Genomic DNA, 21,654 nt, shown 5'->3' with positions numbered 1-21,654 from the left:
GGGCTCACGGCTTGCCCCTCCCTCCCTCCTACACACTCCCCCTCCCAGCTGTTGGTCCACACATTTTTTTGCAGAAACAAAGCTCTCACAGACACAGACCAGCATACCAGGTTTCCCGAGAATCCCCCCAATCTCAAACAGTCTGCTCTGAGTCTTGTTAAACAGTGAAGACATCACGTCCGAAGTGCACCCCTGCCAGTGAGTGGCAACAGAATATTGGGTTTGGGAGATGTGGGACAATGAATGTGTCTGCCAGTATTGCAGAAATCTTGATTGAGCTACCTGAGGCTTTATTGATTTATTCATTCAGTCTTGACAGAGACTTAGCTCTCCTTCACACTCTTAACTCACGTTGTCCAGCCCCAGCTTCCTGTGATTTCCTGTCTGAAACCAGAGGCTCTCGAGAATTTTTGTGAACCTTTTGTTCTACACATGAACCAGAGATCTCTTTAGAACTTTCTGCAGCAAATTAGCAAATCAAGGCAACTTAAGTGGAGGCAATTTAAGTCTGAACAGTTAAAGAATATAAAATAGATGATTAGGGCTCTTGAGCCCAAAGAGAAGAATAGGCTGCAAGGGTTAGAACAGAGAAGCAGCACAGCCAGCATCTCCCCAGCCCCCAACCACTCCCCTCCCCCAGCCTCTCTATGAATGAGGAAGAGAACAGAGGCACAAAGAGGACCCCTCGGTATACAAAGCCCACTGTGGAGACCCCTCGATGCACAAAGAGGGCATCCCTTTTTCTGTATTCCCCACACTGCACTCCGTGCTGCCTCTCACGTACAACCTCTCCAATGCCCAGCCCGGACACCACATTATCTGAAGGGCCTTAATTTCAAGAGCTCTGCAGTAGTTTTATCTATGCGGGATGTCTTCTGAATCCCACGCAATAATTTTCTCTAGGACTGGAGTGTGAAATGAAAGCTATTAAGGAAATAGACGATTATGAAATGGAAGCAATTTTTCCAAACCAACAGTTATTCTTTTCAATTTCTGATACCACTTCAGCCCTCTGAGCCATCACTACGCAGGTTGTCTAATTAAAACTTCCTTTCCTCTTTTTGCATTGTCTCTAACATATCTCCTACATGGTGCCCAATTAATCCGCTCTGGTGCACAGTACCCACAAATATCTGTAGGTATCAACCAGAGAAACCCAAGAAGTCAATAATGTGAGGCCACAATCAGGCTGTTCTGTGGAGACACCATACAATTTGCCCATCACAACCCTAAACTCAGAGGGAAAGAAAAAGGGGAAGATCAGGGAGGGTTTAAAAAAAAAGACAAAAACACACAAGCCAACATCCCCCCATCTCTCTGCGCCCCATCCCTTCTTCTGAGAGAAGAGAGCTGAGAGACAAAGGGGTGGCCAGTGCTCCTAGCAGAATCTCCTGAGGGCAGAGGGTCCCCCTTTTGTCCCTCTCTCCTCCCTTACATTCTCCTTCCCAGCTCTTTGACACTAGCTGGCTTTGTCTTCTGGAATAAAGCCTGTACAAAATGAGCTATTATACCAGATTCCCCTCAGACGACCCCAGCCCTCATTTCAAACGCTGTTGCCTTGCACCTGGGCCACAGGACTGAACATTAGTGCTGCATCCTTTCCCAGCACTTCAGGAATAAATAGTGCATGCAGGAGACCAAAGCATAAATGTAGGAGGCTAAGGCATTGCTACCTGTTTTCTTCTTGCAGGCTTTATGATGCTTTATCACTCTGTCAAGCTCTGAACCCACTCTTTGTCAAACCCCTGCAACCTTTCCATTCTGTGTAAAATAACACACACAATGAGGGCTTAATCTTTCCTTGTACACCTATATCAGGGACCTTACTTGTCTATTCCAAATTCTAAGGACCTGCAGTTACTTGCAGGAAGATTAGTGAGATGAAAGAATGAGGTCATTCTTGAGCAGTAAGCCTTGGGCTGGACTCATCAATAAAATACCAAAAAGCAGCTCATCCAATGCAGGGAGCTCAGACACAGGGAGAGGAAGGCAGGTAGAGACAGGCACAGTCCATCAAGCACCTCTGCTGCTGCAATCCCAGGCGCTTTGGGGAGAGCAACCTGAAGGAAACAGTTGCATGAAGCAGCACAAGGAGGCGCCAGGAATCCTCCTCCATTACACAGGGATAAAGACTGGCCATTTGCTTCCACAAGCCCCGCCAAAGCTACACCACCATGCAGTTCCCTGTGGACAACAATTCCGCTGTTGAGCAGAATTGAGCCATTAATGCAAAGCCATGCTTATGTTTAATTTCCAACCATTCATTAACTGTGTATCTCCAAAATCTCAGTTCCAAGCATCCCGATTTCCAACCTCCACTTCCCACTCACGTGCCTGAGAAAATCAGTGTAAGCAATACTTTGATACCTACTAAATTCCTGTTCTTTGAGCATTTATTTTTATCTTGTTTTCACTTCTTCCTAGCTTCACCTCTCTTCCTACTCCATACATATCACTTCAGCCCAGTGCATCCACATATGGTCTCTCCCTCCTGTTTTCTGTTTATCCCAGCCCTGAAACTCAGACAGGCTGAAGAAAAGCAGGCAACTCTGCATGTGTTTTAAGTTTGCGTAACTTTTTCTATTGCAATAAAATACACATAATATAAAATTACCATTGTAACCACTTTTACGTGTACATTTTATTGGCATTAAGCACGTATATACTGTTAATGCATCTTCAGATGTGTAGCTTCCATCATCTTCAGAACACATTTCATCTTGTAAAACTGAAACTCTGTACCCATTAAACAATAACTCCCCATTCTCTTCTCCCCATAGTCCTTGACAGCCACCATTCTATTTTCTGTTTCTATGACTTTGTCAGAGTACTCTAAAGTACCTCCTTAAACAGAATGAGACAATATTTGTCTTTTTGTGACTGGCTTATTTCACTTAGTGTAATGCCCTTGAGGCTCATCAATGTTGTACCATACTTCAGCATTTTCCTCCTTTTTAAGCTTGAATGGTATTCCAGCGTATGTATACACCATATTTTATTTATCTATTTGGCTTTCTGTGTACACTTGGGTTGCTTCCATATTTAAGAGATTGTGAATAACACTGCTATGACCACGGGTGTACCAGTATATTTTTGAGAGCATGCTTTTAGTTCTTTTGGGCATATGCCAAGAAGGGGAATTACTTGATGACGTGTAATCTTATTTTTATTTTTTGATGAACTGCTGGACTGCTCTCCACAGCAGCTGTACCATTTTACATTCCCACCAACGCTGTGCAAGGCTTCCACGTCTCAACATTTTCACCAACACTTTTCTGTTTTTTTAATTTTATAGTAGTCATCCTAATGGGTATAACGTGGTATTTTATTGTAGTTTTAGTTTGCATTTCGCCAATTAGTGATGTTCAACTGTGGTTTTTAACTTCACTTTTAAATTATAATCACAGACTTCTGCAGGGGTTCTGACAGAGTGAATAATTCTGGACATGTACTACTCCCTTTTAAAAACAAGAACTTTGGTCAAAATGTATGAAACAATGGGTCTCAGACATTGAACAACAATTTTCAATATATGTAAGAGGATTGAAATCCTACAAAGCATGTTTTCCAATATAAACAGTATTAAACTGAAAATTAGTATAAGAAAGAAGTGTTGAAATCCTCCTCAATATTTGGATATTTTACAACAAAGTGTGAATGACCCATGTGTCAAAAAGGAAAACAAGAGAAAAAGAAAGGTAAGATGATACGGGTAAGAATTGTAACAACCTCCCCCATTTCTTTTTGCCCAGATCCCTCAGAAAAGCAGAGGAATCTACCAAGTGGAAGCCCCCTTTTGGCCTTTCTGATGGTGTGCACTTTATCAAAGTATATAAGCTAGCCCTTCACCCTCATCTTCTCTCATTTTAGACAACACCTTTCAAATTCCTGTTCCAAGTACTCCAACAGGTGATATGTACATTTGATGTGAAATATTTTTAACTGTTGGGCACCATGGGCTGTAAGCATGTTCCCTGTTCTGAAAAAAAGTAACTTAGTAGTCCACATTGGTATAGTACTTTGATTTCATACAAGTGTTTGGAGCATTTGCATCCACCACTAGGCTGTATGCAAAGCACACTTGAGTCTCTATTCCTTTCAGGACTCTTACATAGTCCCCTGGAACTACAGTGTGGTAAGACATAGTCTTGCTTGCCAGCTATGTGTGAGACCTTCCCTTACCCCCGACCACCAGGGAATCTACCCCATAGCCATCTACAGTCTTGGTCTATCTTGCCGCTAGACAGAAAAGTTTTCGTTGTCATTTTGTGCCTCGAAGAGTGCAAGAGATGTGTATCAATGATCAGACTATCCATCCCATCTTGTAGCTCCCCTTGTCCACTCATTTCACCCACCAAAGCGGCTAACTCAAGTGAGCCTGCCAGGAAGTCCACTAGTTGGTTCCAATTACCTTTCGATCATGAAGGGGAATTCTTCTCATGGGCATGAATATGTGTCACTTTAACGTGTCCCTTAAATTCACAGAGTGATTTCTATGGAATCACGCCCCATACAAGAATCCCTTTAATAATTCAGTTCTGCATTGCCCATCTTCCTGAACATATGGTAAGGCCAATGCCACTGATAAGTGGGTAAAGACCTAAATATTAAGGTTCTTGCTATTGTTCAACTATTTCATCTCTACAAAAAAAAAAAAAAACATGAAATTATGACTACTCACCTGCTTTGTTCTTATCGTCAATCAGGGTTTTTTCAACAGTTGGTCATAGTGTGGCAGCCTTCCAAACAGGATATTGTCCATTCACCTTGGAACGACCATTTGTAAACGAAATAGGTTTCTGTTGGCCAATCAAGTGCTGTTTACTGTGTGTCCAGAATTGGTTCCTTCCAGTGGGTTCTTTCTCTCGCTGACTTCAAGAATGAGGCCACAGACCCTCGCGCTGAGTGGTACAGTTCTTAAACACGGCATGTCCGGAGTTTGTTCCTTCAGATGTTCAGGTGTGTCCAATGTTTCTTCCTTCTGGTGGTTTCGTGGTCTCATTGACTTCAGGAGAGAAGCCACACACCTTCACAGTGAGTGTTACAGCTCTTAAAAGTAGTGTGGACCCAAAGGGTGAGCTACACCAAGATTTATCACGAAGAGCGAAGGAACAAAGCTTCCATCCGTTGACGGTAACCCCAGCGGCTTGTCAGGGCTGGCTCAGGTGGCCAGCTTTTATTCCCTTATTTGGCCCCACCCACATCCTGCTGATTGGTCCATTTTACAGAGGGCTGATTGGTCCATTTTACAGAGTGCTGATTGGTCCATTTTTACAGAGTGCTGATTGGTGTATTTACAAACCTTTAGCTAGACACAGAGTGCTCACTGGTGCATTTACAATCCTTTAGCTAGACAGAAAAGTTCTCCAAGTTTCCACTCCACCCAGAAGCCCATCCGGCTTCACCTCTCAATAGGGCACCACTCATGTGGCAATAAAATCTGGCAGCTCCTTAGTTGTTCCAAATTTGGCCCTAGAGGAAAACAGGCTACATGTCCATGAATCTGATGAGTAGTGCCTTCTTGTATTCTTCTGAATGCATAAACCTGTTTCAATCAGTTTCATTTTATTATGGAGCTCTTCTGGGCACTCTCTTCCGTGTTAGACCATTTCCCTGATGTTATCCAAGACATTACGGTATTTCAAGTTTCAAGATTATTTTATGCCCCTTATTCATAGAGGGTGGCTCCAATTGATGTCTAATAGCAAGCCAATAATTGTCTCTCAAATGGTGTTAATGTATCATTATGTGTGGAAATTTTATGGCCCCAAATCCTAACAATCACTGGTGAGTGACACCAACAGGCTTTGGCCATAAACTCTAGTCTGCATGAATGCAAGTTGTAGATACTTCCAAAATTATATCTGAATGCAGATCATAAGGTTCCAAAGGGATTGTGTGAACCACCATTTTTGCAGTTCATACATACCTACTATTGTTTGGTTCCCAATTTCAAATTTTTCCTTTCTGGGGTAATTTTATGTATAAGAGCTAGCAATATTCTTGGATTGCAACATGCATCATCCAATATCCAAACAACCCAACCAGATGTTGTGCTTATTCCTTAATTACAGCAGGTAGACAGTGACAAGGGTATCGTTTGGATGTTTCACCCCTCCAAACCTCACGTTGATATTTGTTTCCCAGTGTTGGAGGTGGGGCCTAATGGCAGGTGTTCAGGCTATGGAGTGGATCCCTCATGAATACCGCAATGCCCTCCCTAGGGGTGAGTGAGTTCTCGCTTTATTAGTTCCCAGGAAAGCTAGTTGTTAAAAAGAGCTGGACATCTCCCCTGACCACCCCTTGGCTTCTCTGTTGCCATGTAATCTCTGCACACGCTGGTTCCAATTTGTCTTCCACCATGAATGGAAGCAGCCTCAAGCCCATACCCAGAAGCAAATGCTGGCACCATGCTTCCTGTATGTCTTGCAGAACTGTGAGCCAAATAAACCTCTTTTCTTTACAAATTACTCAGCCTTGAGTATTCCTTTGTAGCAACACACATACACACACAAAAACACAGACAATATATTATTTTTTGTTGCCTGTGGTATGCCACAGGTGGCCCCTGCTAAGGTTATTCTTAAGAATTTCATGACTCAGGCAGGCCCTTTGATTTTTGCTGGATTTATCAACCATCCTATGTTAGTCATGCATGCCACCACTGTATTTAGTCAGTCCTACCTTCTTTGGTTTCAAATATTATCACGATATCATCAGTGTGTTTTATCATCATGCTTAGGATCTGTATCAAGTCCCAGGTGTCTTTTAGCCAAATTAAATGAGCAATCTTGTAAATTTCCATAACCCTGTGGCAAAACAATACATGCAAATTGGATCCTCATTTTCACATGAAGGAAAACTGTGATTGACTCTTTCTGAGATTGGAAGTAAAAACAAATCTTAAAAATCAATCACTGAGGGCCAGGCATGGTGGTTCATGCTTGTAATCCAAACACTTTGGGAGGCCGAGGTGGGTGGATCACTTGAAGCCAGGAGTTTGAGACCAGCCTGGCCAACATGGTGAAGCCCTGTCTCTACTAAAATACAAAAATTAGCTGCGTGTGGTAACAGGTACCTGAAATCCCTGCTACTTGGGAAGCTGAGGCAGGAGAATCACTTGAACTCAGGAGGCAGAGGTTGCAGTGAGCCAAGGTTGCACCACTGCACTAGAGCCTGGGAGACACAGCAAGACTCTATCTCAAAAAAATAAATAATAAAATAAAAATAAAAATCGAGTACCAGTCTCTTTGGATGTGTATGTGTGGGTGTGTGTATGTGTGTGCACATGCATGTGTGTGTTGCCATTGAAACCATATCAGCGACTGCTAATATTGTAGGTAGTATTGCCTTATTCAAGCCTTGATAATCTATTGTTAGTTTCCATGAGCCTTCCAGTTTCTGGGAAACCATTCAGTATCCACATAGGGATACTGTATAGAGAATTTTTTGGTACCAGTTCTTCAGCTGCTAAAATGACATTAATTAAAATGGTAATCTCTGCTGGGTGCGGTGGCTCACACCTGTAATCCCAGCACTTTGGGAGGCCGAGGCCGGGGTGGGTGGATCATGAGGTCAGGAGATTGAGACCATCCTGGCTAACACGACGAAACCCCATCTCTGCTAAAAATACAAAAAAAAAAAAAAATAGACAGGTGTGGTGGCAGGCGCCTGTAGTCCCAGCTACTCGGAAGGCTGAGACAGGAGAATGGCGTGAACCCAGGAGGCAGAGCTTACAGTGAGCCGAGATCGCGCCACTGCACTCCAGCCTGGGTGACAGAGTGAGACTCTGTCTCAAAAGAAAAAAAAAAAAAAAGTGGTAATCTCATTTTTTTCAACTAGTTTTTTACTCTTCCACATTTTTTACTCTTTCAAATTAACTACCCATGTGAGTTTAGACAGTTTTATTAGTTCTCATTTAGAAAATCTGATTAATACTGACTGAGGGGAGAACTTACATGCCTTCTGTATTACAATTCTAGATAGGGTAACTATCCTTTCAGTCAGATATGTTATTCACATCAATATTACATTCAGGTAAAGGAGATACAATCAGTTTTTCACATACAATCTGTTCATACTTCAATTTTTATTCAAACTTTTAACTTAACAGTATCAACTGCTGCATCCCCATATTTTCCCTAACTTTAACTTCTTGTGATAGTTCAACCATTGGTTTTGAAATCACAGTGCAGTAGGCTTTTGTGTCAAGGAGCCCCCAAATGAGCTCTTCTCCACCCCTTGGCCATTTTATCCACACATGGGTATATGGCTCCAATCCAAACCACAAGAGAGCTGCTCTACCCACATGAGCACTAACACTAGCATGGGCAGTGGACTGGAGACCTTGCAAGCGCATTACACCAGAAAAGGAACTTGTGTTGACTCACTCATACCCAGAGATCTAAGTGGCTTCAGCAGGGTGCCATAGTGAGAGCAAAGCCATTATGGGACTGTATTCTTTCCTGGGAACCACGGCTCCCATATATCCACATCCTGGATCTCCCACTGACATACTTCAGTGTCCACAGAGAGGACCTTAGTGGGCACAGCACTAACTGGACCCAAAGGTTCTGTAATTGCTGCGCTAACCCCAGTAATCTAGCTCACAGGGAGCACTACTCATGGGGGAAAGGATGGCACAGTGCATCAAAAAGATGGCCCCTGAGACAAAGAAAATCACAGTACACACTTTCCAGAGCATGAGCACTCCCTGTCTGGGTCTGTGAAAAGCGACTCCACCCCCAGTCATAGCACAAAGTCTGTTCTTGGCCTCACTGGCTGAGAGTGAGATCCCCTCCCACCAGCAGAGGACTCTTTGCTCAGGCTCATACATGGAGAGCAGGGTCCCTCCTCCTGCTCTGCACACTGCTGCACCTGAAGCTACTTCTGTGCTGCTGGAGGCTGGGACAAGCAAGCCACAGGGTTGCCTGTCTAGGGCTGTGAGTGGTGACTGCATCCCCACTGGCAGCATGGTGTCCATGCTCAGGATAACGTGTGAAGAACAGAGCCCCTCTCTGCTGTGTGTGGTGCTGTGGTGCTGTTGCCACCAAAAGCAGATTAACTTGAGAGCTGAACCTCTGGGGTTGTGGGCGGTGGCCCCAAATCACAGCCACTGCCAACACCAAGGCCACTCAAGACCCAAAGCATTTTCCAACTAGTGCTATTGACATTGCTCACAACACACCGACTTCCCAGAGACTCGAGAACCTGCTTATCTGCCAAGCCAATTGCCGCCACTACCAGCACCCAAGCAAGACACCAGGAGGCTGAAGAATTGGCCAACCTGGTCCTATTAATACCAGTGCAAGTATACCCAGTCCTGGTGCCCAAGAACAAGCATTTCGGCCCAATGCATGAAGACTGGCCCACCTGGCATCCTTGTTCCAACTCTCCACCCATGAGGCCAAGAAGAGGCTTTGTACTATGACTGGAGGTGGAGTCACTTTTCACAGACCCAGACAGGAAGTGCTCATGCTCTGGAAAGTATGTGTTATGATTTCCATTGTCTCAGGAGCCACCTTTTTGATGCACTGTGCCATCCTTTCCTCCAGGAGTAGTGCTCCCTATGAGTTAGATTACTGGGGACAGCACAGTGATAACTTACACTGGTAATCACACCTAAATCAGCAGGGAAATCACATATACCACCGACGCTGCTTACAGCCTAATAAATTATATGGAGACTATACTACAGTGTATACCTGGAATCAAATCTAGAGAGCCTACCCAACCAACACCATTGGTACATCTTCAGGAAGAAGTTCTTGCCTTTGAAGGCATATTCAAAAAATTGAAAGAAGTGACGATTACACCAGTTGCACAGATATCAATGTAAAAACATATGAAACATAAAAACGCAAGAAAATTTCCATTTAACCCTCAAAGGAACAGAGCAATTCTCCAGCAACAAATTCCAATCAAAAAGAAATTCACAAAATCCTAAACAAAAAAATAAAAAATTATGATAATAAAGAAGTTCAATGAGATACAAGAGAATTCCATAAAAACAATACAAAGAAATTGCAAAAAAAATCAGGATATGCACAATAAATTTATCATAGAGATAGATATCATGAAAAAGAAGCAAACAAATTCTGGGACTGAAGAATTCCTTAATTCTTTGTTGCCTGGGCAACAAAGCAAGACTCTGTCTCAAAAAAAATTAAAAAAAAGAAATGTGCAAGGGAGTCCTAAGCTTGGAAGTAAAAGGACAGCAGTTAGCATCATGAAAACACATGAAAATATAAAACTTACTGGTAAAGGAAATGCACAAATGAGGAAAAGAAATTATGCAAACTACCACAGACTCTCAGCAAACAAAAAGGACAATAAATAATAGAAAAGGAAAGAAACAAAAAATACAGAAAACAAATGGGAAAAAAGTAGCATTTTAACAGGAACAAAACCTCATGTCAATAATATCCTTAAATTTAAATAGATTAAATTCTCCACTTAAAAATATAGTCTGGCTGAATGGATTTTTTAAAAAGTTCCAATATATGCTGCCTATAAGAAATGCAGTATACCTCTAAAGACATAAATAAACTGAAAGTAAAGGCATGTAATAAGATGTCCCACACAAATGGAAACCAAAAGCCAGCAGGAATAGCTATACTTAGATAACAGGCTTTAAGTCAAAAACAGTAAACACACACACAAACATACCCACACAAAAAGTCATTATATAATTAAAGAATCAATGCATTAAGAGGATATGACAATTCTAAATATATTGAACACAACACTGGAATACTCAGATTCATAAAGCAAATATTACTAGAACTACACCTAAAAAGACATATAGACTCCAGTAAAATAATATTGGGGCACTTTTAACTCATTCTCAGCATTAGGCAGAAAATCAAGAATGAAACATCAGATGTAAACTGGACTTTAGTCCAAATATACCTTGCAGACATAAACAGAACATTTTATCCAAAAAAAAAAGGCAGAATATACATTCTTATAACTAGAGCATGGACAATTCTCCAGGATTGACCAAATATGCTCCTCCATACTATAGCATTAAAAATCAAGGCAACTGCTCCTGAGTTAGTCATGTCACAATTCATTTTAATAAAGGTTCTTCAAAAAGTTAGTTATATTGAGGTACAAAATGAGACAAATTCTTTGTACTGTAGTCTTTCCTTTCAGTTCCTTCTTAGGTTTGCTCCCTATCCCCAATCTGGACTACCATCTTGCTAATCAGAGGTCATAGAGGTGATATTTGCTGTTCCGGAATAGTTTTTCCTTGGAAGCAACAATAAAGCTAGTGGCAATAGCTAGGACTGGCCACAATCCAAGCTTGGTGCAGGTCCAGGATCTGCTGAAACACTCCTCTTTTATTTTAGCTATCTTAGATAAAAATGGCCACATAATAGTATATGTAGCATGTATTTTCATTACTCTACATTTCTCTAGGGATCCAGTGAGCCAACTCTTAAATAGTTGGTTGTATCATTTCTAAATCATCTTGGTAAAAGTTTACCTCCAATTACCAATCACAATGCAGCTTCTGTATCTTACAGTGGGTGACGTGATAGCCATCCATGCATCAGAAGTGTTTAATTTCCTGGCCTGTTATTTTTCCTTTAACCAAAAAAAAAAAAAAAGAAGAAGAAGAAGAATACATCCATCATATTTCAGTGGGTCAGAGTCAGCCTTGAGACTCCCCCATATGGAACCATCTCGTGAACTGGGTTACCAAGACCATCCTCGGGCTCCATGATTCACTAGAAGAACTCACAGAACTCAGAAAAGCTGTTACACTCACAGTTATGGTTTATTACAGTGAAAGGAAACATTAAAATCAGCCAAAGAAAACACACATGGAACAAAGTCCAGGATAAACCAGATGGAAGCTACCAGTTGTCCTCACCCAGTGGAGTCTCATGGTTGTACTTTATTCTCCCAGCAACAACATGTGATAACACATGTGACATGTTGTCACGGAGAAACACTCATGTAAGTATCAAGTCAAGGATTTTTATTGAGGGTCACTTCCATTGACATGCGGGACCTGCATGACTAATCATGGCTACTCAAACTACAGCTGCCCAGAGCACAATAAGACATTCACCATAAAACATGTTGTTAGCCTAACCAATCTAATCAAATTAGTATCGTGTGGTCTGAGGACTCAGGCCTTAGAAAAACACTCTTATCAGCTGGGCGCGGTGGCTCACGCCTGTAATCCCAGCATGTTGGGAGGCTGAGGCGGGTGGATTACAAGGTCAGGAGATCGAGACCATACTGGCTAACACGGTGAAACCCCGTCTCTACTACAAAACACAAAAAATTAGCCAGGAGTGGTGGCGGGCACCTGTAGTCCCGGCTACTTGGAAGGCTGAGGCAGGAGAATGGTGTGAACCCGGGAGGTGGAGCTTGCAGTGAGCTGAGATAGTGCCACTGCACTCCAGCCTGGGCGACAGAGTGAGACTCCATCTCAAAAAAAAAAGAAAAAAGAGAAAAAGAAAAACACTCTTATTAGGCAGAGCGCTGCAAAGACTTAGAGAGCTCATCTCCCATGATCAGGCTGTGGGGCAGTTCAGAAAGCCTAGCCTTTCTTGGAAATATTCAGAGTTGAGCAGCCCAGGCATAATGGGTTAACCTTTTCCTGCACACACCCTAATAGTTTTATGAATGCATCATTACCTCAATATAAAAATCAGACCTTACAGAAATGTAAAAGTAAAGAAAATTGCACAGCAGCTTTTCTCATGAACATGCAAGCAAAATATTTAATAAAATATTACTTAATTTAATTCATAAATATTTCAAATTTCTAACATACCAGGACTAAGTAGGATTTACCTCCAAAACGTAAGGTGATTTTCACACCTAAAAATAAATAAATGTAATTTACCACATAACAATAATATATAATGAATGAAAAAATAGAATCATATCAGTAAATGCGGAAAATTTATTTGACATATCCAAAGTCATTTTTGATCAAACCTGTTAACAAGTTAGGAGTAAAAGAGGACTTCTTTAACCTGATAAAAACCACCTATGAAAAACCTGCTGATAGCATCATACCTAATAAAGACTTAATGTTTTCCCCTTAAGATGAGAAATACAACAAGGGTGTCCTTTCTCACCTACAGTTAGTCTATATTGTAGTCAAGGTCCTAGTCACTGCAATCAAGCAAAAAAAAAAAGTCATAACGATTAGAATATAAGGGGTAAAACTGCCTTTATGTTTACATAAAATGTTTATCTCTGTAGAGAATCTTCCTCTAAGGAATGTACAAAAACTAATAAAATTAATAAGTGAGTTTAACAAGCCACATAATCCAAAAATGTTTAAAAATAAAGTTTATATCTATACGTTACCATTGAAAAATTGGAAAGTATAATTTAAATATAATTTAGAATGGCATTAAATATATATGTATATATTTAAAATCCTTAGTAGCAAATTTAACAAGGTATGTGCAAGAGTTCTGTGCTGAAAACTGCAACATATTGCTGAGATAAACTAAGAATTACCTACATAAGTTAATGGATGTGAAGACTAAGTTTTACTAAAATGTCACTTCTCGGAAATAGATCTGTAGATACAATGTAATGTCTCTACTAAAATGATTATAAATCTGTGTTGATGATATTGCAATGTATAAATATGTAATTTGTATGATAATAACAGCATTAATTAGGGGGAGGGAACAGATCCATAAAGTAGCAAAGTTCTTGCATACAATTGAAATTAAGTTGGTTTTAATCTACAATAGATTTTGATAAATTAAGCTGTTAATTATAATTCTCAAGGGTACCATTAAGAAAACAATTGAATCACGAGGTCAAGAAATCAAGACCATCCTAGCCAACATGGTGAAACCCCGTCTCTACTAAAAATACAGAATTTAGCTGGGTGCGGTGGTGTGTGCCTGTAATCCCAGTTACTCAGGAGGCTGAGGCAGGAGAATCGCTTGAACCCAGGAGGTGGAGGTTGAAGTCAGCCGAGATGGCGCCACTGCACTCCAGCCTGGCAATGGAGCAAGACTTCATCTCAAATAATAATAATAATAGTTTAAATATATATTGTCAAAGAAAAGATAAAATAGATTAAAGACTTAACTGTATGTCCTGAAACAATGAAACTACTAGAAGAAAACATTAGGCACTTTGGGAGGCCAAGGTGGGTGGATCACCTGAGGTCAGGAATTCAAGACCAGCCTGGCCAACATGGCAAAACCTTGTCTCTACTAAAAATACAAAAATTAGCAGGGTGTGGTGGCACGCCCCTGTAATCCTAGATACTTGGAAGGCTGAGGCAGGAGAATCACTTGAACCTGGGAAGCAGAGGTTACAGTGAGCTGAGATTACACCACTGCACTCCAGCCTGGGTTACAGAGTGAAACTCTGTCTCCAAAGAAAACAAAATTAGGGAAACACTCCAAGACATTAGTCTGGGCAAAATGTTCTTGAGGAATACCCCAAAAGTCCAGGCAACCAAAGCAAAAAATAGACAAATAAGATCATATAAAGCCAAAAAGCTTCTGCACAGCAAAGGAAACAATCAAAAAGTGAGGAATGGAATAAAATATTTCCAAGCAAGCCATCTGACAAGGGATTAATAACTAGAATATAAGGGTCTCAAACAACTCAATAGCAAACAAAAAAATTCTCTGATTAAAAACTAGACAAAAGATCTGAAAAGACACTTCTCAAAAGAAGACATACAAATGGCCAACAGTTATTTAAAAATGTTCATCATCACTAATCATGAAAGAAATGCAAAGCAAAATCACAATGAAATATCATCTTACCCCAGGTAAAATGGCTTTGTGTTCAAATAGACAGGCGATAATGAATACTGGCAAGGATGTGGGGAAAAGAGAATCTTCCTATAAAGTTGGTGGGAATGGGCCGGGCGCGGTGGCTCACGCCTGTAATCCCAGCACTTTGGGAGGCCGAGGCGGGCGGATCACGAGGTCAGGAGATCGAGACCATCCCAGCTAAAACGGTGAAACCCCGTCTCTACTAAAAATACAAAAAACTAGCCGGGCGTAGTGGCGGGCGCCTGTAGTCCCAGCTACTTGGGAGGCTGAGGCAGGAGAATGGCGTGAATCCGCGAGGCGGAGCTTGCAGTGAGCGGAGATCGCGCCACTGCACTCCAGCCTGGGCGACAGAGCGAGACTCCGTCTCAAAAAAAAAAAAAAAAAGTTGGTGGGAATGTAAATTAGTACAACCACTATAGAAAACAGTACAAATGTTGTTCTTCAGAAGACTAAAAATGGAACTAGCATATGATCCAGCAATCCAACTACTTGGTATATATCCAAAAGAAATCAAAGCAGTATATCAATGATATACCTGCACTCCTATGTTTATTGCTGCACTGTTGACAATAGCTAAGATATAGAATCAATCAAAGTATTCATCAATGGATGGATTTTAAAATGTGGTGCATATATACAATGAAATATTGTTCATCCATAAAAGAAGAATAAAATCTCATTTGCACCAACATGGATGGAACTGGAGGACATTATGTTAAATGAAATAAGCCAGGAACAGAAAGACAAATGTTGCATATTCTCACTCATACGTTGGAGATAAAAAAAAAATTTGAACACATCTTTGCTATTGTGAACAGTGCCGCAATAAACATACGTGTGCATGTGTCTTTATAGTAGATTTATAATCCTTTGGGTATATACCCAGTAATGGGATTTTTGGGTCAAATGGTATTTCTAGTTCTAGATCCTTGAGGAATTGCCATACTGTCCTCCACAACTGTTGAACCAATTTACACTCTCACCGACAGTGTAGAAGCACTCCCATGTCTCCACACCCTCTCCAGCACCTCCTGTCTCCTGACCCTTTAATGATCACCATTCCAACTGGCATGAGATGGCATCTCACAGTGGCTCTGAAACTGCACGTTCTGCACATGTACCCCAGAACTTAAAGTATAATAATAATAATATAGGATTAAGAAGTATTGGGGCCGGGCATGGTGGTTCACGCCTGTAGTCCCAGCACTTTGGGAGGCTGAAGTGGGTGGATCACGAGGTCCAGAGATGGAGACCATGCTGGCTAACACGGTGAAACCCCATCTTTACCAAAAACACACAAAAAAATTAGCCAGGCGTGGTGGCGGGTGCCTGTAATCCCAGCTACTCGGGAGGCTGAGGCAGGAGAATGGCGTGAACCCGGGAGGCAGAGCTTGCAGTGAGCCCAGATCGTGTCACCGCACTCCAGCCTGGGCGACAGAGCAAGACTACGTCTCCCAAAAAAAAAAAAAAAAAAAAAAAAAAAGAAGTATTGGAAGGTCACCTGAGGAGCTACACATAATACTTTAGATTACTTAAAATAGACACTGTCAGTACTACAGATAAATTAATGTAACATTTTTAAAGAAAAAAAATTTTTTTTTATCACATGGAGCTGAAGAGTAGAATGATGGTTACCAGAAGCTGGGAAGGAATAGGGAGAGGGGATAAAAAGGGTTACTGAATGGATACAAAAATATAATTAGATCAGAGGAATAACATCTAGTGTTCGGCATTACTATAGGATGATTATAGTTAACAACAATTTATTACATATTTCAAAATAACTAAAAGATTGGAATGTTCCTAATGCAAATAAATGGTACATTTTCTTTATCCATTCATCTGTTGATAGACACTTAGGTTGCTTCCAAATCTTACCCATTGTAAACAGTGCCGCAGCAAACATGGGAGTGCAGATATCTCTTCCATATACTGATTTCTTTTCTTTTTGGTATAAACCCAGCAGTGGGATTGCTGGATCATACGGCAGTTCTATTTTTAGTTTTTTGAGGAACCTCCAAACTGTTCTCCATAGTGGTTGCACTAATTTACATTCCCACAACCAGTGTACAAGCGTTCTCTCTTCTCCACATTTTTGCCATCATTTGTGATTGCCTGTCTTTTGGATATAAGTCATTTTAACTGGAGTGAGATTATATCTCATTGTAGTTTTGATTTGCATTTCACACTGCATGCCTGTATCAAAATATCTCATGTACCCCACAAATATATACACTTAGTATGTACCCTCAAAAATTTTAAAAATAAAAAAATGACTACTCGAGGTGATAGATACCCTAATTACCCTAATTTGAATAAGACACATTATATACTTGTATCAAAATTTCATTTGTAGACCATAAATATGTACAACTATTATGTATACATACAAAATTTAAAATAGAAAAGGCAAGGGAATTAAAATGGTATATTAGAAGTACATATTTAATGCAAAAGAGGTTTTACAAGTTTACAGGAGGAATAGAGGAAAAAGACACGAGACATATATAAATAAATAGCAAATGGGCAGTGACAAATTCTACATTATCAGTAATTCATGAAATGTGAATCAATTAAAAACTCAAATAAAGGGCAGATATTGGATAAATGAATAAAAATAATTACATGCTTTCTACAAGAGACATGCTTTAGATTCAAAAACACAAAGGATTTGGGTTGAAAAGAAAAGGATCAAAAAAGATACATCGAGCAAATAGTACCCAACAATAGAATGCTAAATAAATATTATAAAATTAACCTTTCAAATACAAATTATAATGAGAGAAAAATAAGGGTACTTTATAATAATAAATGTTCAATCTGTCACAAAGATATAACAATTATAAAGATACATTTATCTAACAATGGAGTTCCAAAATACATGAAGCGCAAACTGACTCAATTGAAAAGAGAAATATGTAACTCAGAGATAATGGTCAGAGACCTCAATACCCCACTTTCAGTAATGGACAGAACAATTAGACAGAAAATCAATAAGCGAATAGAGCACTTGAACAACACAATGAACCAAATAGATGTAGCACACATATTGAACACTCCACTGAACAATAACAGAATATCTATTCTTCTCAAGTGCACGTGGAACATTATTCAGGCACAGACCATATGTGAGGCCACAAAATGATGCTCAATAAATATAAAGCCTTATTAAAATCATACAAAGTATGTTCGCCAACAAAAGTGGAATGAATTTAGAAATCAAAGAAACAAGAAAATATGTGAAAGTTACAAATACATGAACACTAAACAACAAACTCCTAAATAAGTGATGTAAAAGAAAAAAAGAAAATTAGAAAATGCTTTGAAATGAAAATGAAAACACACAATACCAAAATGTAGGACATGCCACAAAATAGTGTTTAGTGGAAAATACGTACCTATAAATACCTATGTGAAAAAAGAAATTCTCAAATGAATAATTTCATCTTCCACCTTAAGATACTAGAATCGGCCTGGTGGGGTGGCTCACACCTGTAATCCCAGCAGTTTGGGAGGCTGAGGCAGGTGGATCACCTGAGGTCAGGAGTTCCAGACTGGCCTGGCCAACATGGTGAAACTCCGTCTCTACAAAACAATACAAAAATTAGCCGGGTGTGGTGGCGTGAGCCTGTAATCTCGGCTACTCAGGAGGCTGAGGCAGGAAAGTCGCTTGAACCTGAGAGGCAGAGGTTGCCGTGAGCCAAGATTGCACCATTGCACTCCAGCCTAGACAACAAGAGTAAAACTCTGTCTCAAAAAAAAAAAAAAAAAGATACTAGAACTAAAGAAAAACAAACTAAAGGCAAAATGTGCAGAAGGAAGTAAATAATAAAGATTAACATGGAAATAAACTATAGAACAGAAAAACAATAGAGCTTATCAAACAAACCAAAATTGGTTTCTGAAAAAATCAAACTTGACAATATTTAGCTAGACTAAGAAAAGAGATGACTCGAATTATTAAAATAAGAAATTATAAGAAATACCTTAAAAAATAAGGACTATATGGGAATACTATGACAAAGTCTACATCAACCTAGGTAACTTGGGTAAGATAAATTGCTAGAGACACACAAACTGCTGGAACTAACTAGAAACCTGGAAAATTTGAATAGACTTCTAAACAGTAAAGACGTTAATTAGTGATAATAATAAAACTTCCCCCAAACAGAAAACCAGGACCAAATATATAGTCAAGAATTCTACTAATGTTTAAAAAATTAATACCAATAAAGTCTTACAAAAATATAGAAGTAGAAACTCTTTGCAGCTCATCCTATGAGACCAGTGTTATGCTAATACTAAAACTAGATAGACATCACAAGAAATTAAAATTGTAGACCAATATATTTTACAAATGGAGAAGTAGAAATCCTCAACAAAATTCTAGGAAGCCAAATCCAGCAACACATAAAATGATTATACGACACGACCAAACAACATTTATCACAATAATGCAAGAGTGGCTCAACACAGACAAATCAATGTAATTCACCATATTCATAGAATAAAGGACAAGATCACATGATACAGAACCATCATTTGACAAAATGCAACACAAATTCATGATAAAAACAGTAAAGAAATTTGGTAAAAATGGAGCTTCTTGAAGCTGATAAATGGCATCTATGAAAAGTCACAGCTACCACCACCAAGACTAAATATTTTTCCCTAAAAATCAGAAAATATACAAGGGATATGCTCTCACCCTTTATATTCATATTGCACTGGAGGTTCTAGCCAGGGAAAGTTGGCAGGAAATTCAATGAAATTCATATATATTGAAAAGGAGGACATAAAACTATTTCTAAGTGTAGATTGCACGGTATCATATACAGAAATTCCTAATGATCCTACAAAAATATTAGAGATGATTTACTAGAGCAAGTTTGCAAACTGCAAAAGATCAATATTAAAAAAAACAGTTATATATAATAAACAATCCAGAGAGGAAATTAAGAAAACAATTATATTTACAATGTCAAAAATAAATACTTACGAATAAATTTAACAGAAGAAGTACACCACTTGCATGCTGAAAACTACAAAACATCATTAAAAGAAATTCAGAAGAATAGCATTGATTTTGTAAATTGTTTTTGACAGTATAGCCATTTTAATGATATTGATTCTTCTAATACATGAACATAGAATATTTTTTCTATTTGTTTTTGTCATCTCTGATTTCTTTCAACATTGTTTTGTAATTCTCCTTGTAGAAATCTTTCACTTCCTTGGTTACCTGTATTCCTAGGTTTTTTTGTGTGTGGCTATTATAAATGGGATTGCATTCTTGTTAACTACCACTGGATTCAGCAATCCCACTCCTGGGTACATATCCAGAGGAAAATGAGTCAGCCTACCAAAAATACACTTGCACCTGTATGTCCATCACAGTGCTATTCAAAATAGCAGAAATGGAATCAACCCAGGTGCCTATCAGTGGTGGATTGGATAAAGAAAATGTAGCATATATACATCATGGAATACTATACAGCCATAAAAGAAGAATGAAATTTGCAGAAACATGGATGCAACTGGAAACCATTATTGTAACCATTTCCAGAAACAGAAAACCAACCAGCACGTGTTTTCAATTATAAGTAGGAGCTAAATAATGGGTACATATAGTCATAAACATGGGAATGATAGATACTGGGGAATACAAGATGGAGGAGGGAGGGGTTAAGTATTGAAAAAACCTACGTATTGCGTACTGTGCTTACGACCCGGATGATTGATTCATTCATACCAAACTTCAGCGTCACAAAATATTTTCCTTTGTGGCAAACCTGCACATTTACCCCCAATTCTAAAATAAAATCTGAAAAAAGAAATTGACAAATATTTAACTAAATGGAAAGATAATCCATGTTCATTGATTGAAAAAATTCATATTTTTAAGATGCTGCTACGGTTTGAAGGTCTCCTCCCAAAGTTCATGTTTTGAAAACTTAACCCCCAGTGAAATAGTGTTGGGATGGGCAATATAGTAAGAAACAAATGAATCATGAGTGTTCATCATCATTAATGGATTAATGTATTTATTGCAGGAGTGGGTTAGTTATCATGACAATGGATTGTTACACAGCAAGTCAGTCCCTGATGCTGTTTTCTCAGTCTTACGTTCTCACTTGCCCGTCCATCATGCTATGATGCAGCATAAAGGCCCTCAACAGGTGCCAATGCCATGCTCTTTGACTTCTCAGCCTCCAGAACTAAGAGCTGAATGAATTTCTTTCTTTGTAAATTACCCAGTCTGTGGTGCTCTGTTACAGCAACAGAAATTGACTAAAATAGATTAAAGCACTCCCCCAAATAAATCTTTAGATTCAACACAATCCCTACCAAAATCCATGCTGGCCTTTTTTTCTCACAAATTGACAGGCTAATTCTTTTCTCACAAATTGACAGGCTAATTCAAAGTTCTTATAGAAGGAGCTGATAATAGCCAAAAAATCCTGAAAAGCAACAAAATTGAAGGACTCACATTTTCTAATACTAAAATTTTCTACATGGTAATCAATAGACCGTAGTATTCACATGAGTGTAGACAAAGACCTGAGGGAACAGAAATAAACTTACGATCTGAGGACAATTTATTTGTAACACAAGTTCCAAAACAATTCAATGGGTTAAATAATAGTGTTTTCAAAAAGTTGTTCCAGAAAACTGTATATTCAGATGAAAAAGAATAAAATTGGAGCTCTCAATCAACTGAATCTTGACCAAACAATAAATATAACCACTAAGAGATAAATCTCAAAACAAAACAATCCTCAACCTAAAATAAATAATAAATAAATAAATAAATAATAGAAGAAAAAGTAGCTGTAAATCTTCATTTTCTTGGATTAGGCAAGGT

The 21,654-nt window shown here is 39.3% G+C and overlaps 1 annotated feature.

The window, feature by feature from the left end:
- Positions 4,439-5,638: an enhancer, noted in NCBI's record as "BRD4-independent group 4 enhancer chr15:24001764-24002963 (GRCh37/hg19 assembly coordinates)". NCBI's record gives its function as "activates an origin of replication core promoter dependent on BRD2, P300/CBP, MED14 and CDK7 cofactors, and independent of BRD4, by STARR-seq in HCT116 cells {active_cell/tissue: HCT116}" and the evidence as "EXISTENCE:reporter gene assay evidence [ECO:0000049][PMID:35650434]".

This window comes from Homo sapiens, chromosome 15, assembly GCF_000001405.40.
Source record: "Homo sapiens chromosome 15, GRCh38.p14 Primary Assembly".
NCBI classification, from domain to species: domain Eukaryota; kingdom Metazoa; phylum Chordata; class Mammalia; order Primates; family Hominidae; genus Homo; species Homo sapiens.
This window is presented reverse-complemented; position numbering and strand designations above follow the sequence as displayed.